A 25659-nucleotide genomic window follows, 5' to 3' on the forward strand; every position below is an offset into this window, starting at 1 on the left:
CTCCCTCTCTGCTTCAATTCCTGCCCTGTGACTTGGCAGTGATTTGGTGTGGAGTGTCCAAGTGCTACCATGACCCTGAGCCCTAATATAGGACAGGTGTCATTTTTTAAAAAAACAAGCTCCCAGCCCAGGTCAACCTAAAACCCAGTTGGGTCTATACTGAATGTGAATGCACTGACACAGGTATCAAATCTGAGATGTGGTTCCAAGAGAACAATGTCCAAATAGTTGGAAAGAGAGGATAAAATGGAGCTTGTTGTTGTTGTTATTGTTTTATCAGACTCACAGCTGGGAGCTGGAGGGAGATGTCATTCTCTGGGAGTAATCATTGTCCCTTATGTCACTATGCCACATCGGCTTACAAAGCCCATGCATGGACATTGTCCACTTAATCCTCCCCCCTCCATTGGTAAGCTAAGCAGGGACAGGGCTTGTTTCTATCCTTCAGATGTGAGAACTTAGACTCAGCTGGTTTGGTCAACAAAAATGACTCCCTGTCCACACAGTGGTCCCTTGGAGGCTGACTGCCTCTTCCTGAGTCGCCTTCGTGCTGGAAAGCAAGGAAACACCTATACGACAGTAGAACCTGGGTTCCTTCTGCTTCATAATTTGTCTTCAGAGGTTTGCTTTAAAAGTTGTCTGGCCATATGTCCTGGAAGGACAGTTCCCCTGCCCACTCAGTAGCAGAGCCAGAACTGGGACCCGCCTCTCCTGGAGGTCCACCCTGTGCTCCTGGTGTCAAGCAGCCTGGACCTCTGCGCTCTGGCTCTCCTGCTTTCAGAACAGCCCCTGGGAACAGAACGGTACTCAGTGGCACCGAGGGGCTGGCAGTGCTGGTTGTGAAGACCTCACGGCACAGTTTGTGCCAAGCACACCCCAGATGCAGGGGAGGCAAAGAGTTGCTGCTGCGACCCTTTGGGCTGCCTGAGAAGTGGGTTCTGGTACCCCCTGCCCCCTTCTAGCTTCCCTGCAGTGCAGACAGGTCCTCTGGGACAAGGGGGCTGGGTATGTCCCAGACCTTCACAGGCCACGCACCCCTTCTTTGTGCAGGAGCATCAGCCGGCCACCTGTTGTTCATCTAGCCCTGGTAATCCCTTCTGTACTGTGTCAGCAGTTCAAAAGGGCACTGTTAGTATTTTTTGCCGACTTCAATTAATGTGAGATTTCAGAGGCCCCTCTGATCACATTTCATCTGTCACAAGTCAGGAACAAAACAGACAGATTCCAGTTGAGAGGAGGAAGGAGAAGGAGTTTATTGCAAATAACAACAACCAAACAGTTTGGGCTGGGCCAGCAAAGGGTGTTCTGGGAGTGCCCGGCTACCTCTGCACTCCATTTTGCCCCATGCCTGGGCCCCTACATCTCCTTCCCATCCGTGTTCCTCCTCTCCCAAAAAAGATGTAAGTGCAATAACTTACTTTAAAAGGCAAGAACGTTTCTTTTAATATTTTGCTATAATGTAGTTACATGGTGGTATAGGCAGTAAAACTTTATGGAACCGACCTCATTTTTTTTTTTACATTTTTCTGGATTTTTACTGTATTTTTAATATATATTTTTAATATTCCACCCCAGGCCATTAAGCTAAAGGAAAAGTTGCATTTATACAGGGTTAAAATATCTTACAATGAGAACAATAAGTAACGGTTGAGGTTCATGTTCCTTCTAGCACTCAGCTTTCTTTTTTCAACCACTGCACACCTAAACAGATGATTAGACATTGAAAACTGTCCTTCAAAATCAGTAGTATAAAGGCCTAGCTCTATGTGTGTGAGTGAAGAGGGAAGAAAGGAGAGGCCGAGGTTAGGTCATGGAAGCACCTTTCCTCCCTACAGCATCCTGAAAGAAGTGAAGTGGGGTTGATGGGTCATTGTCACCTTCTTATTTTTTAACTGGATAGTCACAGAGTATTATCCTGGGGGCCAGTTTACCAACCATCCTCCCCCAGCTAGGCCTGTTTGCCTTTGCACTGGACAGTAAGGGCCATGAAACAGACCAGGAACCCCCGCGTGTCTTTCAGGTTCTCGAAGATGGCCCCCCACTGTCTAGCCCAGGGAGGGAATGACTGCATAAGCAGGGTACGTAGTTTTCATGGAAGCGTCCCTCGTCTGCCCAGCCGAAATGACAGGAGATGGGGCACGGAGCTGGGTCCAGTGTGATCACAGCTGTGTGTGCTGGGGACCCACCCCACACTTGCTGCACCTACCCCATCGCAGTGTCTTTGAGCTAACCTGGCCACCGTGCTTCCCGAAGCTGGAGGCACGGTAGTGAGCGCTGAGAATCAAGTATAGTTAAAAGAATTCAAGGAAAGTTCTAAAAGCCCATGTCCTCCAAGTGCTATTTCAGCCTTGGAGACAAGCCTCTCTGTGTGCCCCCCAGAGCCCTCGCTCCCATGCCCCAGGAGTAGTGCTGGCATCTGGAGGGCAGTAGCAGCACCTTAGTGTCAAGCCTTGCCATGCTGAGACCTGTGCCCAGCAGGGACTGGAGGCTGTCAGTGTGGGGAGGCTGCCCATCCATCTGCCGGCTACCCACGACTTTATTTTTAAGTTGCCATCTCTGTTGAGATCTTAGGCAGGTATCCAAAGGAAATCCTCACCTCTCTTAGCTTATTCGCATAGCAATGAACCACGTGGCAGGTAGATGCTTCTCTCCACCTGCCTTCATGAGCTTTAGCTCCAGATGGCCTTGGGCAGCTGCCCTGACTTGCTCAGTCATCCTAGGAGCTGACACGGCAGTGGCCCCCTGCTCTGCAGTGCAGAAGGTTGGGCCTAGCCACCTGTCTTGGAAGGGACTGGGCCCCAAGGTTCTCTTCTGGAGAACTGAGCTGCTGAGTGAATGCCCATGAGGCATTGGAGAGGGGAGCTCCATGCAGCACCGGCCGCCCCTGGTGCCAACGAAGCCCAGGCCCTCACACCCTGGGTGGCACGTCCCAGGCTCCTCTCTCAGCCTAGTCTCAGGGCAAGTACAGGTCAGGGCAGTCATGTCTCCACTCTGGGCCAGGGTCTTCTCTGTTGTGAAGGGACTGGACTAACTAGAGGGTTTCTAAGCTTCCTCCCAACTCGGTGGTCCTATCATACTTAGTGTGGTTAGGTGGCCCCCAAGGGCTGGGCCAAGCCACAGAGGACAGGCCTGGGGTACGTGGCTGCCTTTGACGAGATGAACAGGAATGTTTCACATTGGCATGTTTAATCCTAGACACTTCCTGGGTGTGTTGGGACAGGCAGCCATAGCCACAGAGTCTTCTAATAGACGCCTTTTCTTCTCAAGCTTTTGGGTTGAAATTTGCCTGACTTGGGTCTAGCCCAGCCAGAGAGCAGACGCATGGAGGAACTGAGTGCCGGGGGCCACTGCGGAAGAGCCCCCTTAAAGCTCTCACTCTCCCTCCCTGCCTGCTCTGGAGCTACCTGTCTGTCCTCCTCTTTGTCCTGATTCCCTTGCTCTCCCTCCTGGCCCACTCTGGAGCTACCTGGCTCTCCTCCTCTTTGTCCTGATTCTCTCATGGGTGAGAAAGACCCAAGGTGAAAGTTCCTTCCTTCCCCATCCTTCCTCAGCCATGAGCATTTCAGAAGGAAAGGGGGGAGAAATGGGGAAACTGTTCCCAGCCTTAAGTTCTTCCTTTCCCTGGCTAGATTTTGGGGGAGTCTGGGTCATTTCAGCGAACCTCAGAACTAGAAAAAACTTCCCAAAAGTCACTCCAAATCCTCAAATATTTGAAACACTTAAAGCCAAGCCTCCAAGAACATTTAATTCAATGTCCAAGACCCTTTCACCTCTATAAGATCCATTTTAGAGCTACGGTTCACAAAGAGGTCTGACTCATTAAGGGAGGCCACAGCCAGACCCTTCCTCAGCCTGGTTTCTAGAGCAGATGAGAACACCAGGCAGGCGGGAGACTGTCACCCCCAACCCCAGAGACCCTCATTCAACAACACCAAGTTTACCCTCCGCCCAACCCAGGAGGCCTTTCTGTGTCCACGACCCTGAGCATAGTGGGCCTGGCCCTACTCCATGACAGGAATCAAGGGAGAAGGTAGAAAAGGCGAGCGCTTCAATGCGGGGCGCTGCCTGCTGGAGGGACCCCCCACCTGGGGTCTGACAGGCCTGCCTCTGGACGGTTACTGTGTACTCCCAGCTGAGGTGAGGGCTGGGGCTCAGGGCCAGACCCAAGCTACAGGGGTCGGGCAGGCAGGCACAGAGCCCCGCTTCCTGGAGGCAGGAAGCCTGGTTTCAGGAGGGCATCCTGACAGCCCCATTTGCAATAGCAAAGCCACACCGAGGAGCCCAGGCCAGGAGCCCTTCCGCAGGCTGGAGAGAGGGCAGAGAGTCCTGGTCCCTGTGGAAGAAGTGTAAGGACGGAGTGTGGAAAGCTGTGTGGAGAAGAGCAACACCTCCTAGTGCCTGGAGGGACACAGAGCCCCCATCTGCCGTGGAAGGCTCTGGGCAGCGATGACACTGACAGATATGGCAGGGAGGACAGTCAGTTTGAGGCCATAGCAGGGCCTGGAGGCCGAGCATGGCCACACGTCCTCTAGCAAAGCCTGCACGCAGCTTTTGACCCTCTGCCACCCGGCCCCCAAGCTCTAGCTTATGTGTTCCGAAGTTGTGAGTCCTTCCATGCCGGGACACTGCTGAGCAGCCCCAGGGAGGGGCCAGGGTAGGGCAGGGAAGAGACGAGCCCCTCCGCATCCTCCTGGAGGGAACCTGACTGGGCTCTGGATGGAGAACAAAGCTGCCCAGACCTCCCCGCTGTACCAGATGCCAGGCAGGCCGGAGAGCGGGAGGACTGCCCGGGCCCACGCCCCACCCGGATGCCTCCCCCTCTCCCAGGACCTTTCCTTCTTCTAGCACCATGGGAGCCCTTGTGGCATCTGTGTTCTCAGCCTCCCTCAGGTCTGGCTCCTCCCCTATAGTGTCCAGTGAGGGGCTGGCCCGTGTCTCCCCTGGGGACTGGCATTGCTAGATGGCAGCAGGGGTCCTCGGCTCCAGCTCCTGTCATCCTCTGCCCACTCTCTCCAGGTGTATCCAGCCTAGGGGACAGCCAGGATGCAGTCAGCCAGGCTCTGTCAGACTCGTCACTGTTCGGGGGGAGGTGGAGGCTGGCGCCTTGGCCCCAGCAGGTCGGATTCCGTGTGCTTTCAGGGAGAGAAAGATGGGAGGGCAGGAGGCTGGCTCTGCAGGGCAGCCTGTGCTTCAGACACACAGCCACCGGCCTGGTGACCAGGGGACCCCACTAGGAGCGGGAAGGATGGACAAGACTGGGCTGGTGAGGCTGCTGGGTCTGCATGGAAATCTAGCATTGACTCATGGTCAACTAGGCAGAGCAGAGGAGTGGGCGGGAGCAAGAAAGCGCTTTCAGCTTATCATGGATGCGAAGCTGAAAAACGTGGCCACCTGGCTTTCTCCACTGCCTGTGGCCGGGAGCAGGGGTCAGGGCCTCAGTGCCAGGGAGGGGCCAGGGGCCTGCTGCCCCCTCCCTCCCAGCAGTCCACGGGGCCTCAGACTTGGGGCGGCTGAAAGTGCTGAGGGTCAGGCCCCTGGCCCAGGCCAGGTTCCTAAGAGGAAAGTCGAGTGGGAGGCTGGGGGCCTGGAAAACATGGGCGTGGCCCATGGTGTCCCGAGGTGGGGACGGGGCAGGGGTGCCCTGTCATGTGGCCCAGGAAATGGCCGCACTGTGCTCCTTGGCCTTCATGCGGAGGGCCGCGATGCTCGAGGTCTTGCGGTCCGGCTCGCCGTTGAGCTCGTAGCCATTGAGGCCTGGGCTGAGGCTGGCTGCTCCAAACAGGCTGCCCATGTGCGTCTGGCCCACGTGACTGCCAGCCCCAGACACACTCAGGAAGTCGGTGACGCTGCTGGCCCCAGAGCCAGGGGGGTGGGCATGAGGGGACATGCAGGCAGGCACCGGGTCGCAGGGGACCACGCAGGCTGGCACTGGTGAGGCAGCCCCGTTGTTGCCGAGCCAGGACGGGTTCTGAATCTGGGAGAGGAAGGGAGAGATGTCACCGGCTGGCGGGCAGGTGTGGTGTGGAAGGGGCTCGCCCCTTCCCCCAGAGCACCTCTCCCCTCACTGTCCATCCTTCCCATGAAGCCCCTCTTGAGTGTTTAGCCTTGATGGACATCCAGATACCCCTGTGGGGGTGGCTTTTACACCTTGGCATCTCTGTTCCCAGGGCCAGGCTAGCAGCAGAGGGAAATTCAGTTCTAAAGAGTGACCTCAGGCTTCATTAAGGGTCCAGTGGAAGGGTGACACCCCAGCACCCCCCAGCTGGCTTCCTATTTTTAGACTCAACTGTAGACTTGGCCTCCATCTGCGGATGGCAGCTGTGTCTCATTCACCTCCAGCTCCTCCCCAGGCCCCTCACATCCATAGGCACCTGAGCAAGGTGAGCAGACCTCAACTCGGAGAGCTTTGGCCTCGCAGGTTCCCTTGGGCCCCCACCAGTAGCAGGGAAGATGGAGGGGTTGGGTGAGGTGGGCGGCAGGGACCTAAACCTCTCAGAAACCAAGGGTCAGTGGCTGAGGTTCCAGGGCCTGAACTAGGAGGCTTCAGAACTAACTCAGGATGGAAGGGGCTGCCTCAGGAGTGGACAGCCAGATCTGAGACCGGACCTCCTCGTGCCAAAGGGGCGAGGGCATGTGCAGGGATGAGTTGGCCATCTTATCTTCCATCTGTGCCACTGGGCTTCCCTTCCCTCCCCAACGTTCACCTGGGGCTCCCATCTTCCTCTACCTTCTAGGCACGTATAAGGAGGTAGAATTAGGGTGTGGGGGAGACCCGGGAACCTCTCAGCTTATGCACACGGGATTCCTGGTAACCTCATGTGGGCTTCTGCTGGCCTGCCCTCCTGCATGTGTCTGGAGCACACTCGAGGGAGGCATTTTAAAGCAGGGAGAAAGAGCTCAGCCCCCATCCTGGAGGGAACCGCATTTCTCTCTGCGGTGCAGGGGAAGGGGGACCGGTTGGCCTCCATCACCCCCTCTCAGAAGAGGTCTGAGCACACACTATGTGGTGCTGTAGGTGAGGTGGGGGTAGGAGGGGTGAACAGGGCCCTGTGTTGGGTTCTCCCTCCAGCTGTGCGCTCAGGCAGCAGAGCTCAAAGCCAAGGAGGGAGCTAGAGTTCCATCCTGGGAGGACAGAGGGAGGCTGAGTTTAGGGAGGGAGAGGGGAGAAAGAGAATGGAAGAACATAGTGCGAGCTGATGCTGATGGTGCCTGTGTGAGACACCCCATATTCCTCAGCCTCACCTCCAGGCCTGTGCCCTGCCCTCCTGCCCCATGAATCCTGGGCTGGGGGAGAGGGAACAGAGGGCTGGTCTGGTTGGAGAGCCAGAGACCATTTGCTAGCACAGAACCAGGTCAGGGAGAAGTAAAGGAGGCAGGGGCGCCCGTGCTACTGGCTGGCTGCTGAGCAGGGCCAGGTTGGGAGCTGAGGTGGAGGCCATGCCAGAATGAGGCCTGAGCAGGTAGGGAGCAGCCGCTTCTGCTGGGCAGGCTGAGTGGGGGTCAGGAGAGGACTTGGACTTGGCCAAAAACACATCTCTCTAAGCATCCCATGTGCCTGATGTGACTCAATACTTCTCATCCCTTGCATCTCACACTAGAACAGGGGACTGGCTGACAGACACCTAGGGAAAATGCTCTGGGGGGAGGGGAGGACAGGGCCCCAGAAGCTGAGCACAGGCACACAAGCTTTTTGAAACTGTACAATTCACAAAATACTTTTGCATGATTGAATTTAGACCTTACAACTGCCTGACAACAGAGCTGAGCAGATGCTTTTACCATGTCCAAGGTACAGGTGAAGAAACTGAGGCTCAGAGATTTGAGACTTGCCTAAAGTGAGAAAGACCTGGAGCTGGAAAGATAACCTAAGTCCCCGGACTCAGAATCCCAAGCTCATTCCAACTTGGCCACGAGTCCTGGAGATTTCAGAGCTCGCTTTCTGAAGAGACCCTCCGAGCGGTATCTGAGGGCCTGGTGGCCTTCTGCCTGCCTTGGTTCCGATGCCCACAGCAAAAGTGGCCAAAGCTAGTGGAGGAAAGAGCCGTTCTCACTGCCCCAACCTTCCCTTCCCTAAAGTTCAGCCAAGCCTGGTTCAATGATTAGTTGGATAGATTAACCCTGGGCCTCCCACACTCTGGTATAAACAGGCACACCCCTGGAATGAGACGGAAGGGCAGCCTGGAGCCATAAGTCATCTCGGGGTGCCTGGGCTCTCCTCCAAGGGGCTCATTCTCAGAGCACCAGGGGCTGGGGATCGGTGGCGGCAGCTCAGGGCGGGACTTACCTGGGCGTAGTTCTCAGCTCGGGTGAGGAGGGGCAGCTCATATGCAGTGGAGAAGTGGGTTCGAACCTGCTGCATCTGCCCAAAACGCTCCCGCTTCCTCCACTTGGCCCTTCGGTTCTGGAACCAGACCTACAAGACGCGAAAAAGCCATTGTCACCAGGGTGAGATGCCCGCCTGGAGGCCTCACTTTCAGGCAGTGCAAACTGTTCCCTTGAGCCCCCCATCAGTTGCAGTGCGTTTGGGAAACGGTGCGGCCACACATAAATATCAACCTTGGTCTTTGTCCTCAAGAGCTGACAATCTAGAATCATCCACTCTGAGCTGGGAAGGTATCTTACCCCCACTAGCCATGGGCGTGATCCTGAGCCAGAACTTTTATTTTTCTAAGCTTGAGAATCTAGAGCAGCCAAGTGTCACCACCTATAAAACAAGTCACTGGTCATCTTAGCAGTCATCTAAGCAGACTCCTGTGGAGAAGCTGATAAAAGCTACAAATGCTCCTCCAGATGTGTTCTCCTAGACAATCACACACAGTTTTGCCACAGTTTTCCAAAAGGTTCATGGCTCTCTAAGGCTTATTGGTCCAGATTCACAATGCCTTCCTCCCTGCATCCTGTCTGCAGCCTTCTTGTTGGAGACAGTCTCCCAGCTCAGAACTCCCCTGTGTTAAAGGGAGAACAGGGGCTCTGCTGGGCAACAGAGGCAGTCAGGGAAGACTTCCTGGAGGAGGGACAGGAGCTGGGCCTTGAATGGTTGGCTGAAAGGAGGAAAGCCAAGGCCTAGGTTTAGAAACAGCAAGGCATACTCCAAAAACCTAAAGAGGTCAATTTGAAGGAAGCGGTGGGAGAGAAAGAAACAGAGTCAGATCGCAGGGGGCCTTGACTGCCAAGTGAAGGGTTTTTCCCTTGGTGCTGTCTGTAGAGGCAGTTGCTATAAAATCTTGTGTAGAAGCGTGGCCTGATGGTGAGAGGAAGTGGAGGCCAACCCGTCACTGAGCACAAGTGGATGGGATGTTGGCCTGATTGGGAGCCCAACGGGGGAGGGGAGGTCTCTGAGTCAGCTGTGAGCACTGGGGTTTTTGGTGACGGGGAGTATTGGGTCCTTTTCCTTTGCACGAGCATTTCTGGAAGGCTGAGAACTTTCCCAAGGCTCAAGAGCAAGAGCTGCCCTACCCCTGGCCCATGACTTAGGATCTGGAGAAGGGGTGATGGGGACGGGGTGGGTGAGAGAGGGAGAGTGAGGAGGGATCAGCTTCCAGGCCAGGAATGGCTTTAGGCTGATTCAGAGATGGACCGTGGTGCTCCTCAGAGGGAGGCCTCTGCCAGCTTGATGTGCACTTGTCTGCTGGCTTTGCAGACTCAGATGCAAGTGGGCACACCTCAGACAGCACGCTGCAGACCGGGAGAACAGAGCCATGACAATAGCCTCAGCTGCAGAGCCATAAGGAGCCTTGCCAGGCCCTTCCAGGCCCAGGCATCAAGAAAGCCAACTTTCCTGAGGTCCAGTCCCTGCTCTCCAGGTGGAAACATTTCTCCATCCATCACGACCAATGCAGCTGCTGAGCTAAATATAGGAGTCAGCTCTCAAAATTCCTCTGCCTCAGAGCCTTTGAGCTTCCTAGGAACCACTGCGAGGAGGGGAGAAGGAGGTGTGGACGTGCTTCCTCACAGACGCTGCCTGGCCTCTTTGGGCATCCAGTGTAGCTGGCCAATGGACAGGCTCATAGGAGCACTGGTATTGCCAAGGGCCTCAGTTTCTGCATGGCGAATGGTACCTCATAGTCGCAGCAGGGGAGATAGATGGGAAATGCAGTCCAAGAATGTTTAGAGTACTTCCCATTTGTTTCTTTACAGCTCCTGACCTTTCTCACTGTCTTTTGCTAGAGGAAAGAGGTCAAGGAAGATGGGGATGTATCTCATGTTACTGTGAGGAGGGTGGGGGTGAGCAGGGGTGTACATTATTATGTTTCTCCACTCCTGTACCAACTCACTTTCCCCTCCCTAATCCTAAGCATGTGTGTGCGTGCACGAGTGTACCCACTAGTGTGGCTACACGCACGTGCATGTGTGCACACACATTGACTGGGGGAGGAGAAGCCTCTTCCTTAGAAACGGACCCTCTCCCCAGTTTGGGGTCTCAGCCCCTGCCCTGGCCTCCCAGGGCCCCTTTTCCTCCAGGGATTCCTAGGGTCCAGGCCCTGGCTGCCCACTGGGAGCCAAGGACAGATGGGGTCTCCTCTCTGTGCTGCTGAAATGGGATCCCTCTTTATCAGTGGCCTGGGATGGGAGACTGGGGCCAGGATGAGAGAATGAATCAGAGGAGCTTGTTTTCATTTCATGTTTAATTTCCTGCAGGCTTAGCTCCGTCTTTCCGCTCCTTCCTCAGCCTCCCAGGGTTTTCTGTGGGGGAAGCTGGGGGGAGGGGAGAAGCCACTGGAGGCACGGAGAGAGATGGCTTCTCTTTTTCTTTTTGTCACTGTGACTGTTGGGGTTCTCCTTGTGTCTCTGTGGGTTCCAGGTCCCCATGGTGGGACTGTGGAAGTGGAAGATGTCCCTACAGGCTCTGGAACAGAGGATCCAGGGATGGGCGGGGAGGGACCCCGAAGAGGGAAGGAGGTGGCCAGCGCCTGGCAAAGGGGTCTAGAGTGGAGGGAGGAGCCATGTGGGGGAGTGGAATGTGGGGCGCGGGCTCGCTGGAGCTGAGTGTGAGGGAGGAGGAGATGTGGGTTATCTGGGGAAGACAGATGACCAGGCGGGGGAGAGGCCAGCAGAGCTAGCACCGTCTTTGGAACAGGAGTGGAAGAAGGTCAGGCTGAGGGATTTATTTGAGGGCTGAAGATGGAAATGGTGAGAGGCGGGTGAGCGACCGGTGGGAGCAGGGCTGCCCACCTCCTCCCTCCTTCTTCTCCTGTTCCTTTGTCCTGGGGCCTTACCCTGCGCACCCAGTTCTGGCTTTTCTGCCCAGATCCAGACATGAGCTAGGTGAGCCTGGCCGGTCCTCAATATCCTCCCCAGTAAATTGGAGGCAGCAAGGGTATCCTCACGACCCCTTCTATGCTCACATCTGCAGGTCCTGAGGCTTGGAGTGTCCATCCATTTCTGACCCCTGGCGCCCCAGGGGCTCCGAGAGCTCCCTTCCAGATGCCACACCAACCCCCACGCCCGTTCCTGTGCCTCCCAGCTCTGCACCGCAGGCCTGTCTCCACTGTGCAGCCCCAGGAGGACAGCCAACCACGAGGTCCCCACTGTTCTCCCGGTCTGAATGTCATACCTCAGGACCACCCCAGCCTGGGCCCACTCAGCACAGGCCTCTCCCGAGGACCGGGCTGTGCAAGGAACCAACTGTCTTGGCGGAGGCCTCGCTAACCGCAGCCCATCTGGGGCCAGGGCGGGGTGGCCCAGGGCGGGGAGGCCTCTGTCTTATTGTCTTCAGACACCAGCTGCAGAGATTGGAATCCCAGACAGCAGAGAGAGGCCCCTGCAGCCCCCTGGAGCAGGGCCAAACCCTAGGCTTCTTCCCAGGAAAAGTCCATCTTGGGGCCCCCATTGCCCCGTCCCTGTCCCCACCACCACTCTACGCCAGGCACCTGGCTTGCCACCAGCTGAGTATGGGCCCTGAACAAACACAGCAGAGGCAGGCAGGGGGTTCCATCACCACCCCCTTACCCCCCCAGGGCACTGCCAGGCTTAGGGCTCAACCCAGAGGTCTGACGCACATGAAGATCCCACCCACCCTGCTGCCTTTATACAAAGAAAAGCCTCTGAACAATCTGGCATGTGTCCTTGTACAGCAAACTAAAGTCAAAGAAGCACTAGGCTGCGACTCAGGAGTCCCGGATTCCAGTCGCAGTGCTGCTACTGAGTGGCTGCTGTTAACTTCAGGTTATGACTTCCCACCTATGGGCCTCTTCTTCCTCGTCTATCAAATGGGAAGATGGGGTGATCATTTCCAGCACTACCGTTCTATAGTTCTGTGGTCCTCCCACTAGGTGATAAGATATGCAGCACGTCAGAGTTTCCCTTTCTGCCTTGGCTGCCAGGAAGCTCCAAGTTGAAGTTTGTGCTCAATGGCAACCATGAACCTTAGCCTAAATTTTTTTTTACCACATTACCTCTGCATTTCATGCCATTGTTCTTGTTTTTAGATTGAACAAATAAATCTTTAATTGTAAGCTACCTCAACTCCATTTTGGAAGTAGGTATAAGTGTGTGTGTGTGCGCGCGCATGTGTGTGTGCAGAGAACACTCTGTTTTAGTTGTATGGTGGCAACTGAAAAATGCTCTGTGCGCCTTTGTTTTCATGTTTTGTACTCAAGGCGTCATTCTTCTTTCAGTACTTAGTGAATTCTACTCCCGGGCACTCCCATATATTTGTTAGGAAGCATGCATGCAACCCACATATGCAAACACAAATGTACACACATACTGCACAGAAAAGGAACAGGTTTATCCCACACCAACACAGCACCTACAGGGCTGTCCCATAACCAGCTATGCCCCTTTCTCTACCTACACCTGTGGGTCCTCCCCAATCCATTTGCTGGAGATCAGGCTAGATGCTAGGATTCCTGTCCAAACTCAGGCATGTAAGGTCATGTGAGTGGCTGGTTGTCCAAATTCAAGTGAGATCTGGGTGTGTGAGGGCTTCTGGATTCACAGGAAAGCCCCAGCTGCCCTGTCATCCTTCATCAAACATTCATTAGGCACTGGAGGGGAATAAAATGGCAGTCTTGCCAGGTGCAGTGGCTCATGCCTGTAATCCCAGCACTTTGGGAGGCTGAGGTGGTGGATCACCTGAGGTCAGGAGTTGAAGACCAGCCAACCAACATGGTGAAACCCCATCTCTATTAAATATACAAAAATTAGCCGGGTGTGGTGGTGCACACCTGTAATCCCAGCTACTCAGGAGGCTGAGGCAGGAGAATCGCTTGAACCCGGGAGGCAGAGGTTGCAGTGAGCCAAGATTGCACCACTGCACTCCAGCCTGGGCGACAGAACAAGACTCTGTCTAAAAAAAAAAAAGGCAGTCTGGGCTGGGCATGGTGGCTCACGCCTGTAATCTCAGCACTTTGGGAGACCAAAGCAGGTGCACCACTTGAGGTCATGAGTTCAAGACCAACCTGGCCAACATGGTGAAACCTCCATCTCTACCAAAAAATAAAAAAAATTAGCTGGGTGTAGTGGTGCATGCCTGTAGTCACAGCTACTTGGGAGGCTGAGGCATGAGAATCGCTTGAACCCAGGAGGTGGAGGCCGCAGTGAGCCAAGATCACACCACTGCACTCCAACCTGGGTGACACAGTGAGATCCTGTCTCAAAAAATAAAAAAATAAAAAAAAAATGGCAGGCTGCCCTCAGGGAACTTACAGCAACTCAACCGTGCAGCTCTTCAGCATCACTTCTGGTAGCTGCAGTTTCTGAACAGCTACATATTTACTGATAACCACTAGTCCTTTTCCACATTAGCCATTTTGGAAAAAAAGTTTGTAGACTCTATTAGAGATGCCTCTGCCTTCTTAAACAGAAAATGGTTGTAACTGATGAATCTTTTACTGATGCCTTAGAACAATGCTGCTGAAGATGCTTTCATGAGTTAATTCAAGAGTCCCTGGGGCCTGCTGAGGATTGCAGGGTTGGGGCATCTCTGTCCTAACATTGAAGGGCTCAGCCCACTGAGCTGCATGGCGCTTTGCTGATTAAAAAAAAAAAAAAAAAAAAGATTTCTCTTTGTTCTGAAGCTATTGATTTTTCTGGCCCACTGGAGAGGGAAAAACTGCTATGTGGCAACGTTTTATTTGCTATTTCCAACATGCTTTGGGTTGGAAAAGCGGACTGATTATGACATTTATTTTGTGTTAAATTGAAACTTAAACTTGAGTGTGTGAATTTTGTCACCTGTATTTTGGCTACTCATGGGTCTTTTCTTTCTTTCTGATCCTTTCTTTGCTGTGAATTCATGCTGGTCGGGGCAGATACAGCTCTCTGGACAAGGGTTGATTGATCCACGGATACTTATTTTTTAGACTTGATGCTCTGCGTTTGGCTTTCTCTAATTGGTGGGAATACAGTGATGAACAATCAGTGCTTGATCTCAAGGAAATCACAGTTTAGTAGGAGGGGACAAACAAGTAAAATAACGTAAGCCAGTCAACAATCCTGTAAAGAAGACAAAATAGGAGTTGGGCACAGTGTCTCATGCCTATAATCCCAGCAGTATGGGAGGCTGAGGTGAGGGATTACTTGAGGCCAGGAGTTTGAGACCAACATGGACAACAAAGCAAGACCCCATCTCTACAAAAAATAAAAAAACTTATCCCAGGCGTGGTGGTGTATGCCTGTGGTCCCAGCTACTCAGGAAACTGAGGCGGGAGGATCCATTGAGCCCACGAAGTTAAGGCTACAGTGAGCCATGATCACACCACTGTACTCCACGCTGGGTGACAGAGAGAGACCCAGTCTCTTTAAAAAAAATAAACAAAAATACCCAAAAGATAAAATGGGCCCAGGCATGGTGGCTCATGCCTATAATTCTAGCACTTTGGGAGGTTGAGGTGGGATGATCACTTTAGCCTAGGAGTTTGAGGCTGCAGTGAGCTATAATCATCTTATTGCACTCCAGCCTGGGTGATAGAATGAGACCCTGTCTCTAAAAAGAAAACAAAAAAAATTTAAAAAATTTTTAAGAAGATAAAATAGGACAGTGTAACAAAAGGTGAGCTGGTTTGCTTCTGTTGTGTTGGGTTGGGTTGAGTTCTATTGGGTTGTGTTGAGTGGGTTGAGTGTGTCAGGTTCCATTGTGTTGTGTTGTGTTAGGTTGAGTTCTGTTGGAATGTGTTATATTGGGTTGTGTTGTGTTGGAAGGGGCTGCATTAGGTTTAGTATGTTGAGTTCCATTGTGTTGTGTTGGGTTGAGTTGAGTTCTATTGGGTTGTGTTGTGTTGGGTTGGGTTGAGTTCTATTCGGTTGCACTGAGTTGAGTTGAGTGTGTCAGGTTCCATTGTGTTGTGTTGTGTTAGGTTGAGTTCCATTGGAATGTGTTATATTGGGTTGTGTTGTGTTGGAATGGGTTGAGTTGGGTTGAGTGTGTTCAGTTCCATTGTGTTGTGCTGGGTTGAGTTGAGTTCTATTGGGTTGTGTTGTGTTGGGTTGCACTGAGTTGGGTTGAGTGTGTTGAGTTCCACTGTGTTGTGTTGTGTTGAGTTGAGTTCTATTGGGTTGTGTTCTGTTGGGTTGCAATGAGTTGGGTTGAGTGTTGGGTTCCACTGTATTGTACTGGGTTGGGTGTTTTGGTTGTTGGCTGGTAATAGGGGGGCTACTGCTTTAGCCACAGTGGTCAGGAAGACTTCTCAGAGGAGGTATGAGTTGGGACTTGAAAAATGGAGGGGGATGCAGCCATCTAGGCAGAAGGAAGAGCTAAACTGTTCTCTGTTTCTGCCCACTGGGATGCTGTGGACATTGTCTTCATGTTTGTCCTGTTTCCTGTCTAAGAGATAGGCCTTCTAGAGCAGGGACAAGTAACCCTTCTCTGTGTGAAAGAGCCAGGACTCTTACACTGTGTAAAGCCCAGAAACAGCCAGCAGCAGCCTTCCTGCCCCTCTGCTGGAGGCCCTCCTTCCTTTGCAACCCCCCACCACAGTGCAGAAGCCCAATATTAAAGAGGATAAAAGCAGAGTCGCTCTAGTTGGGACAGGGGCATGAGGGGCAGGCTAGGAGCCCCCACTTTCAGGTTCTCAATGAACTGAGGAAAGGAAAGCCATGGTGTGGTTGGTGGGCAGTCAGGAGACCCCAACTGCAGCCAAGAGCCCAGGGACAGGCTCTGCTTTACCAGCCTCACTCCCAGGTGGCCCTCACTGACCTGCACGCGGGCCTCAGTGAGGTCTGTCCTCATGGCCAGCTGTTCCCGCGCATACACGTCTGGGTAGTGGGTCTTCTGGAAGACCTTCTCCAGCTCCTCCAGCTGGTAGCTGGTGAAGGTGGTCCGGTTCCGCCGCTTCTTGCCCTTGTTGCTCTCTGAGTCGGCCTTCTCCAATGGGCTGGGGAGGTCTGAGCTGGCCCGGTCCTGGGGCCCCTTCACCCCAGCCTCCTTGACACTCAGGTAGCTGCTGTCCATCCCCACAGTGTCAGAGTCAGGGGGTAACTCTGGCTCACCCAGGGAGCTCTCTTTAGCTGAGGGAGGAGGAAACAAAGTCAGAAACCAATGGTTGAACCAAACAAGAGAAGGGGAATGTCAGGGGGAGAGTGGGGCACTCGGGTAGCCACCCCCTGCCTTTTTCCTCTTAGAGCTCATTGGATGCGAGGTCCGGAGACTTGGCTTCTAATTCTGGCTTGCCATTAACTTGCTGTGTGACCTTGGGCAAATCTCTTCCCCAATCTGAGCCTCTTCACCATCATCTTAGACTAGGTCCCTTCCAGCAACAATGTTATGTGAACCTAAGGCAGCCAATCTGACCTCTGTGACCTTTAATCCCCACCTCACTGACCCTGAGCTCCTCTCTCTAGAGGGATTCCCTGCATCAGGACTTTTCTGGGGCCCGAGAATTCTGACCCCAGTGCCATGGCCTCCCTGGGTGGAAGGGAAACTCATTCAGCAGCCATGTCTGGCCCAGTGGGGCTTGGGGTGAGGAGGACCCAGGATTGAGGCAGACAGGAGTGCCCCTCCTTTCCTGGCCTAGTCCCACCAGGAGTTCAGCAGGAGCTGTGGAGACTCTGCCCCAAGAGTCCAGTGCTGAGGAGTCAACACCTCCTTCCCTGCCCCCCAACCCTGCACACTGGTCTCACCTATTGTTCAAGAGAAGGGTCTTTCTTCCTTGGGGGTGCATGGGATTGAGGCATGGGCCACATTTCCTGTTACAAGCAGCTCCTGCCCACTGTTTACTGAGGCTGCCCGGGCACCTTCATCCCCAGCACGCTGACCCCGGGCCTGGGTGGGTGTACATGAGCACAGCTCCCAGCCACTGCGTCTGGCAGATGGACCCCCCACCCACCGGCACATTCCTAGCTCAGGACTGCAAGGACGAGTCAACCCATACACATCAAGAAAGAAGAGGTGGAGGCTGGGGTGGGAGAGTGAGGCAAGAAGCCACTTTACCACCACACAGCCTGGTGAGCTTCCTAGGCAGACACACTCACCTCCTGGCAGAGGGTTTGGGACAACAGTCCCTACCTTTTTGGCACCAGGGACTGGTTTTGTGGAAGATAATTTTTTCCATGGGTGGAGAAGGTTGTGGTGGGGCATGGTTTGGGGATGAAACTGTTCCACCTCAAATCATCAGGCATCAGATTCTCTTAAGGAGCACGCAACCTAGATCCCTCACATGCATGGTTCACAGTAGGATTCACGCCTCTGTGAGAATCTAATGGCACCGCTGATCTGACAGGAGCCAGAACTTGCAGTAATGCTTGCTCACCTGCCGCTCACCTCCTGTGTGCGGCCCGGTTACTAACAGGCCATGGATCGGTACTGGTCCACAGCCTGGGGGCTAAGGACCCCTGGTTTAGGTCATGGACTCTTGATAGCCCCGCCATGAATCCTATGGCCATGACTCCCCAGCTGTGTGCTCAGGAGAGCTTACCTACCCGCTATGTGCCTCAGTTTCCCCCTCTATAAAATGGGGATGAAGATACTTCTAGGATCTTCCTCATAGGGTAGCTGTGGGAAATAAAGAGGCTAGTGTGCTAGCTATGTAGTTTTGCCATTATTGATATTCACATTTCTAGTCTGGACTTGCAAACCCACAGACCCTGTGAACATTAGAGGACTCCGACCCTGGAGAAGTCCTCCAAGCATGCAGGCCCTTGGGCACAGGAGCATGTGCAGGGCGTGCACAGATGCCTAGGGAAGGGCAGCCAACTGGGTGTCTGCAGATGTGGGTGTGAACTCCTCGAGAACTGTATTCCTTGTCTGTAACTTGGGGAAAAGGAACTTGTTGAGTGAAAGAACAAACACAATTAATAAGACGTTTGGGGAGCATTTGACACGACCTTTCACGTGCACGAGCTTTGATCATCACAACAAGCACGTGTGGTAGGTGTGAGCATCAGCCACTCTGACCCGCGGTTTCTTCTTCTGGAAATAGGTCCAAGCGATGGGCATTAAGTGTCAGAATGATGCCTCTAGTCCAGGTCTTCTGACTCCATCCAGATCCTGAGGGCTGAAGCTTCAGACTCGTCTCATTCCTGGCTTTCTGTGCACACTGGGGAAGCTGAGAGGGACATTTGGCCTGTGGCATTCTCGCCTCCCTCTCCAAGGCATCAAGGAAAGGGCATAGAGGTGAGTGCCCAGAGTAGGCCTGAAAGCAGCTTCAGGAGGCTGCTCCTGAGGGCCACTGGCAGTGCAGACGCCATGGGGGTGCACGACCGGCCCAGCGGCATCACGCATGACACCTGTGTGAGCCCAGGCACATGCAGACAGCCATGGCTTCAGTGACAACATTCTGCAAACTGCAGCTGGCAGCTGGGCCAAGAGCTTTCAGCAAAGATATTTATCTTCCTGGCAGACAAATACATTTTATGTTTTAGGTTTTTTTTTTTTTTTTTTAGAAACCCCACCCAGCCTCACAAAAATAACCATCCCTGTTTTGCAACTTCCTGGAAGCCAGATGAGGGGCTGAGGGAGGTGAGCACTGAGCCCTGAGCTCTGATCCCCAGGCCCCATCTCACAGCCCCATAGACGCTTGCTGGGGATTGGGACCACCCTGCACAGCAATGGGAGCTCCATGTTACAGGAACTGAGAGTTGGTATGGACCAGCCTGAACTCCTAGTTTTAACTGGGGGGAAACTGAGGCCAGAGAGAGAAGGGAACATGCCCCAATTCCGGACAGAGCACAGCCTCTCAGCTCCTGGCCTGCCCTCTACTCCCTCCCCTGCGGTCTTAGGCCTTATTCCCAGGGAGAGAGGTAGGGGCAGAAGGAACCCAGGGGCCTCATATGACCAAGGCGTCCTGCTCTGTCCATCTTGTGGGGGGCAGGACCAGCCCTTGAGGATGAGGGAGTGAGGATGCGGCCTGGGGGCAGCCTCTCAGCACTGAGCCAGCTCTTGGCCTTTCAGGGGAAGTGGCAGAAGGTCCAGTCTTCATGGTGACAAGTAAGGGTCCAGTTTTGCCCACCTCCAGCTGCCCACTGAGACCAAGTGAGCAGGCAGAGATAGAGGTGGCACAGGGTGTGCGAAGACCACCAGGCCAAGAGTTGGGAGCCCTGGCCTCGGCCCCCGCTCTTCTCAGGACTTCAGATGACCCATTTCATCTCTGGAGTCTCACCTACAAATAGGGAGAGCGGGGTAGTTGAGGGTCCCTCCTCCCTTGCTCACCAGCAGCCAGGACTGTCCCTGAGGACCTGGGGAGGGGAGGAGAGGGGGAGGGTGTGCCTGTGTCAGAGATGGAAGGAATTCAGGGGAGCGCTGCTCCTGGTTCCTCAAGGAAGAAGGAAGCAAGCCTTCTAACCTGTCTTGAGTCAGCTTGCTTTAAATTCTGAGGCTGGGTTCCTCATTTAGACAACAAAGAAAAATTCCCTGAAGTTCTGCAGCTCCACTCAACTGGTCAGAATAACAAGCACAGCCCTCTCAGAGTCTGAGTCCTAAGACCCCAAGCTCAGGCTGTCTATGTCCACCTCTCGCCACCCTGCAGCATCTCCACCTGGCGCTGGTTCCAGTCTAGGGTAGCAGGGAGCTCACTGCCCCCAGGACAGCAGAACTACTCATCTTTAGACCCAGCCCATGTCTGTCTCCTGTAGGTCTGGTTCACTGATTCCAGTTCTAACCCCCCAGCGCCCTTCCCCATGACAGCCCTGTCCCTGCGGACATTGGGAGGCTACTGCCACCCCTCTGAGTCTCCCTTCCTTCTGCAGTTCCCACTGCTGTTCCTCGGGTGGCCCTGAGTTTCTCCGGCCTGTGTGAGACAGAGGGTGGCAGGGATGATATGAGGAGTGGGGCTGGGCCCTGGGCAAAGCCAGCAGATTGCTCTCCAGGGAGATGACCCCGGGCTGGCTGGAGTGTCAGCATGGTAGCTGAAGGCCTGGGTGCTGGTCAGATCTGACTCCCCGCAAGGTGCCCTCCTCAGCAAGACGGCTGCTGAAAATAGAAGTCCCATGGCTCAGGCTGACTGCTCCTGACCAAAGGAAACCACTGACCTTGGTCCCCCAAGTCCCCATCTCGGGCCCCTGCCTGGCATGTTCCTCCTTCCAGCTGACCTCCAAGATCCAATGCTCCTCCAGGAAGCCCTCCCAGATTGTGACTGTTTTCCATCCTCTGCTCACCCTCTCCACTGACTGCCTATGTTTGCTGACTCGTAATCTCATCAAGCCCCGAATGTCCAGCTCCTCCTATAGAATGTCAGTTCCCCAGGGGCTGGGACCTCATGCCGTTTGTCCCTTCTCAGCCTGAGGCTCAGCACAGGATAGGTCAGGTGGCAGAGATGCAGTAAGAGGTTGCTGAGGAATAAATGAACAATTTCTAACTAACAAACATCACTGAGCTCTCGCTCTGTCCAGGTATCTGTGTGCACCTTTGGTGAGCCGATGTTCTATAGAGCATGTGCAGAAAATGTCTCTCGAGTAAATGAACCAACCGCCTCATCCTCCTACCCACTGGGGAGAAAGTCGGGTGGGATACATTGAAAAAGGGCACGCAATGACGAATGCCACCATTCAAGGCTGACAGCACAAACAGCAAAGGTCACTGCGGGAGACAGGAGAGAAGAAAGACCCAGACAGACCTTGAGCGATGTCTCCATGCAGAGAGCAAGGGACAGAAGGAGAAGCAGAGACGGGCTTCATAGGGGCGGCTCCAGAATTGAAACCAAGGTCCAGAAACCCAGTCCAGGATCTGCCAGGAACTGGCTCCACACCCACCCTGCCACCACACTGGGGTAGAGAAGACCGCCAGGGAGCTCTCAGTTTGCCTGGATGCTGGGCAAGCCTTCTTCAGAGCCTTGGGGCACCTCGTGCTGGCATAAGGCTGAGCAGCAACAGCGCCCAGCGTGGGTCCAGGCCACCCGCCAGGGGTTGGACTTCTCACATCCTCCCTGGAGCAGCTCCTTGTGGACCCGGAAAGGCTCTATGCTGATGCCCCTCCCATGATGAGTTTGTCCCAGGGCTGAGGCTATGGGGTCCAAGACAATGTAGTCCCAATCTGCAGCTTCCCAGTCTTGATCTGGAAGTAAACCCCTGACTACTTAGAGCCATCAATCAAGTAGTGAACCTACATCACTGAGAGCAATGCCTGCTCCACGGAGGGTGTTGTGCACGCAGTGTGGCCATCATGGTATCCAGTGCTCTTCAAACAATCCTAGGTCAGCATTATTGCCATAGACTGCTTTTGATGAAGTGGGAAGCATTCAGTTCAAGGTTGTATTCTCAATCGGGAGCCACTGAGCCCTTCAACCTCTGCTGGAACTCCCCCTGGGGGGACCCCCGTACCACTGGGAGCTGTCGTTTCTAGTGCTGGGAACCCCTGGCTGTTGGATTTCAGCTGGAGAAATGCATGAAGTGGAAAGCCTTGCTTCGTTCCCTTAACCTCTACCCATCTGTCCTGGTTCAACCCAATGGCATCACTCTAATCTAGTTTTACCTTTTTAAAACAGGAAAACCCTTGAGAGGTTTCCAAAGGTGACTGATTTTTCTTTTTTCTTTCTTTCTTTTTTTTTTTGGCCGTGATTTAAAGAATGACCTTCTAGAGCCATTTTAGGGAGAGGGTGCTGGTAGCATCTGTATGTACAGATGTACACCCGAGGGCCTGTGGCACAAGTCTGCCATTGTGAGTGGGTGTGGGGAACATATGTGTAGTTGCTTGTGGATAGGTTTGTGGAGTGTGCATGCTTGTGTGGTCAAGCGCAGGCACACAAGTGGGATGTGTGTCCCCGTGGGCAGTTGTGTGTGGGTGCAGATCCGCGTGGGTGGGTGTGGACATGGGTGGTGTGGGCCTGTGTGGAGCCGTGCACAGGCCCATGCATATGGCGCTAAGGGGTCTCAGTCATTTTATCCTCCATGGTTTTGATTACATCTATTTTTCCTCCAAACATCTGCTTTGTGGGGGACATGCCGCTTGCTCTGTTCTCGGGTGAGCTGGCCCCACACACCCTGTGGCGGAGTGCACACACCGATGTAATCTCCTTAAAAAAAACAGGCCAGCATGAGGCCCTTTCATGCTATTGAAAGGGCACTGACTAAACCCACTGCTGTCCAAACGGTCCTGTGGGGGTGAGGGCGGAGGTTAAAGTTTAGCCATTGATCACGTCCCCACCCCACCTCATCTGACACTGGGGTCTGTCCAGAGCTCAACTTGAATGTCCCTAATTTAGCTCCAGTCCCAATAAATAATGCCAAAGGGGTAGTAGTGACTGGGCTTAGATTTCAGCACACATGCACGGGGCACAGCTGTTTGCAGAGACAGACAGTGTCCCGGCCCTCAAGGGGCTGCCAATCTTCAGCAGAGGGTGGGGTGGAAATGGCAGTCCTCAGGCTAGCCAGTGGCACAGGCCATCCTGCTCACCCACAGCCACCAACCCAAGCCCTGAAATGCTCTCGAAATAAGGAAAGTCTGAGAAACTGCCCCAGACTAGAGGAGGCCAAGGAACCATGAGGACTAAGTGTAATCAATGTGTTCTGGGGGGAATGCTGGAACAGTAAAAGGACATTGGGGGAAGCCAGTGAAATCTGAATAAAGTGTGGAGTGTAGTTAATAGTAATATTTAACAAAAAGTGGGCAAAATATTCTAGCAGACACTTCACCCAAGAAGATCTACAGGGAGCAAATAAGCATGAAATATGCTCAACCTCATTACCCACTATGGAAATGCAAATTAAAAGCACAATGAGATACCACTATGTGCCTATCACAGTGGGAATAAGACCTGATGATGCCAAGTTACGGCGATGTATGGAGCACCCGGAACTCCCATCCATCACAGTGCAAACACTTGGGCGGTGTCTTATCTAGTTAAACTAACACTGACCTCATGACCCAGCAATCCCACTCCTAGGTATTTACCCTACAGAAATAATGACTTATTTTAAGAGGAGAGGAACCCAAACCCATAGGCAAATGTCTGCAGCAGCTCTATTCAGAATCACCCCGAAATGGAGACACCCCCAAGTGTCCTTTGACAGGGGAATGGAGACGCAAGCTGTGGTCTATCCAGGCCATGGATCGACTCCACAGTGAAAAGAAAGAACTGTTGACAATGACATGGATGAATCTGAAAGGTGGCCTTAGGGTCTGTAAACAAAGCCAGTCTCAAATTTACATGAAGTGCAACTGCACTCAGCTAGCACATGAATTCTGGGAAAGGCAAAACTACGGGGACTCTAGGCAACAGATCACTGGTTGCCAGGTGTAGGAGGAGGGGGAAGGTTTGTTTACAAAGGGCTTGCACTGGTGTGATGGAACTATTCTGTATCCTGACTGTGGCAGTGAATACATGAATCTATACATGAGTGTGTTAAAACTCATAAAAGTATATACCAAAAAGTTTTTTACAGCTGGGCGTGGTGGCTTGCGCCTGTAATCTTAGCACTTTGAGAGGCAGAGGCGGATGGTGGATCACCTGAGGTCAGGAGTTTGAGACCAGCCTGGCCAACACGGTGAAACCCCATCTCTACTAAAAATACAAAAATTCGTCGGGCATGGTGGCAGCCACCTATAATCCCAGCTACTTGGGAGGGTGAGGCAGGAGAATCGCTTGAACACGGGAGGTGCAGATTACACTGAACTGAGATCATGCCATTGCACTTTAGCCTGGGCAACAAGAGCAAAACTCCATCTCAAAAAAAAAAAAAAAAAATTTACAGCATGTTGTTTTCAAATTTTAAAAAATGTAACTAAAAAGAAAATACAAAATTGTGTTCATATATATAAAACAAAAACTAAATTAAAAGTTTATATGCCTTCACCCAGAAATCTCACTTCTAGGAATTTACTCAATAAATGATGGTAAGCATTCACTAGAGAGAACGTTCATCATGTCATAGTTTAATATGTAGGAAAACCGACAGTAATCAAAATATTCAACAATAGGGGATTGGTTAAATAAAGGATGATATTTCCATAAATGGAAGATCCTTCCTGATAGTCTTTATTCTGCACGTTGTTTCTTTTTTTGAGACAGAGTCTCGCTTTGCCACCCAGGCTGGAGTGCAGTGGTTCGATCTCGGCTCACTGCAACCTCACCTCCTAGATTCAAACGATTGTCGGACCTCGGCCTCCTGAGTAGCCAGGACTACAGGCATGGGCCACCACACCCCGCTCATTTTTGTATTTTTAGTAGAGACGGGGTTTCCTCATGTTGCCCAGGCTGGTCTTGAACTCCTGGCCTCAAATGATCCACCCGTCTTGGTCTCCCAAAGTGCTGGGATTACAGGCATGGACCACCGCGCCAATATTAGGTATTTATTTGTTCTTCTGTTTTCCCCTTGTTTATTGTCTCTCTCTCTCTCCCTCCCATGGAGCAGGGAATATATCTGAACATGTGTGCTTTGTTTACCCTGCTGTGTAACACCTAGTATCATAGCTGGCATGCAGTAGATGCTCAGTAAACATTTGATGAACAAATGAATGAGATGATGCTAAGAAAGGATAGCGTTTTAACACATGCAAAGATGTTCAATTTATATCAAATAAATCTCATTTTGATCAAAAAGAGGAAGGGAGTGGAGCATTTGTCCTCAGAAAATACTACAAGTTTCCAGAAGTGGCAATATGGGTCTATGGGTTAATTTTGTTTCTTTTCTTTTTTTGGGGGGCGGGGCGGGGCTGGTCTGAATTAATTTTCTATTTGTTTTCCCAGGAACAGGTTGAAATATCTGAAAGCAGTGATTAGAATCCTGGATGGTGCATGCTCTGAGAGCGGGCTGGGCTCTGTGCTGTGGGATTATGGGAAGCAAGAGACAAGCACCACTTGGAGAGACTCAGTTAAACTGGAATTTTAGATAAACAGTTAACACTTTAAACAATATAAGTATATCCCAAATATGGCACAAGAAATACTTTTATCCTACAAATTATTCATTATTCAAATGCAGATTTGACTGAGTAACCTGGTTTTGTTGTTTGCTTGCTTGCTTTTTGCTAAATCTGCCAACCCTGTACATCAGGCTTATGTGGCATTCAGGGTCCCGAAGGCAGGACTGGTCCCCACCAGACTCACGGACTTACACGCCAGCCTTCCATCTAGCTTGAGGTTCAGAGACCTGCTTCCGCTCTGCAGCGCACTGCACGAGTATCTTCAGGCTTCCGCACTCCTGCGGGCACCCTTCCTTCTACCTAGCATGTCTCTCTGCCTCTCCTGTCTGTGGCTAACTACTACTTTCACCTGGATAGCTTTCTCTGTAACTTTTGTGACTTTTCTTTCGCATTACAAATGTAATCTATGTTCTATATGGAAGATT

The 25659-nt window shown here is 52.7% G+C and overlaps 1 protein-coding gene across 1 annotated transcript in view, besides 3 other annotated features; it reads right to left on the bottom strand.

The window, feature by feature from the left end:
• The window catches only part of ALX4 (ALX homeobox 4), a 49700-nt gene continuing 25271 nt past the window's right edge, over positions 1231-25659 (bottom strand). Inside the window, exons 2-4 of the mRNA NM_021926.4 lie at positions 16139-16449; positions 8285-8413; positions 1231-5974 (exon numbers count right to left, since the gene is read on the bottom strand). Of these exons, the coding sequence (NP_068745.2) occupies positions 5645-5974; positions 8285-8413; positions 16139-16449 (770 nt within the window). The 3' untranslated portion in view covers positions 1231-5644. The remainder of the gene's footprint in view (positions 5975-8284; positions 8414-16138; positions 16450-25659) is intronic.
• Positions 2604-3103: an enhancer, noted in NCBI's record as "H3K4me1 hESC enhancer chr11:44283363-44283862 (GRCh37/hg19 assembly coordinates)". NCBI's record gives its function as "activates a minimal SCP1, AML or CMV promoter by ChIP-STARR-seq in primed H9 embryonic stem cells {active_cell/tissue: H9 hESC(primed)}" and the evidence as "EXISTENCE:reporter gene assay evidence [ECO:0000049][PMID:30033119]".
• Positions 9168-13005: an enhancer, noted in NCBI's record as "VISTA enhancer hs2090". NCBI's record gives its function as "enhancer in: eye[3/4] | trigeminal V (ganglion, cranial)[3/4]" and the evidence as "EXISTENCE:transgenic organism evidence [ECO:0001131][PMID:17130149]".
• Positions 18349-18666: a silencer, noted in NCBI's record as "fragment chr11:44299108-44299425 (GRCh37/hg19 assembly coordinates)". NCBI's record gives its function as "represses an EF-1alpha promoter that drives an FKBP-Casp9 reporter gene in an ReSE screen in HepG2 liver carcinoma cells {active_cell/tissue: HepG2}" and the evidence as "EXISTENCE:reporter gene assay evidence [ECO:0000049][PMID:32094911]".

The sequence above is a fragment of the Homo sapiens genome, chromosome 11 (assembly GCF_000001405.40).
Source record: "Homo sapiens chromosome 11, GRCh38.p14 Primary Assembly".
Classification (NCBI taxonomy): domain Eukaryota; kingdom Metazoa; phylum Chordata; class Mammalia; order Primates; family Hominidae; genus Homo; species Homo sapiens.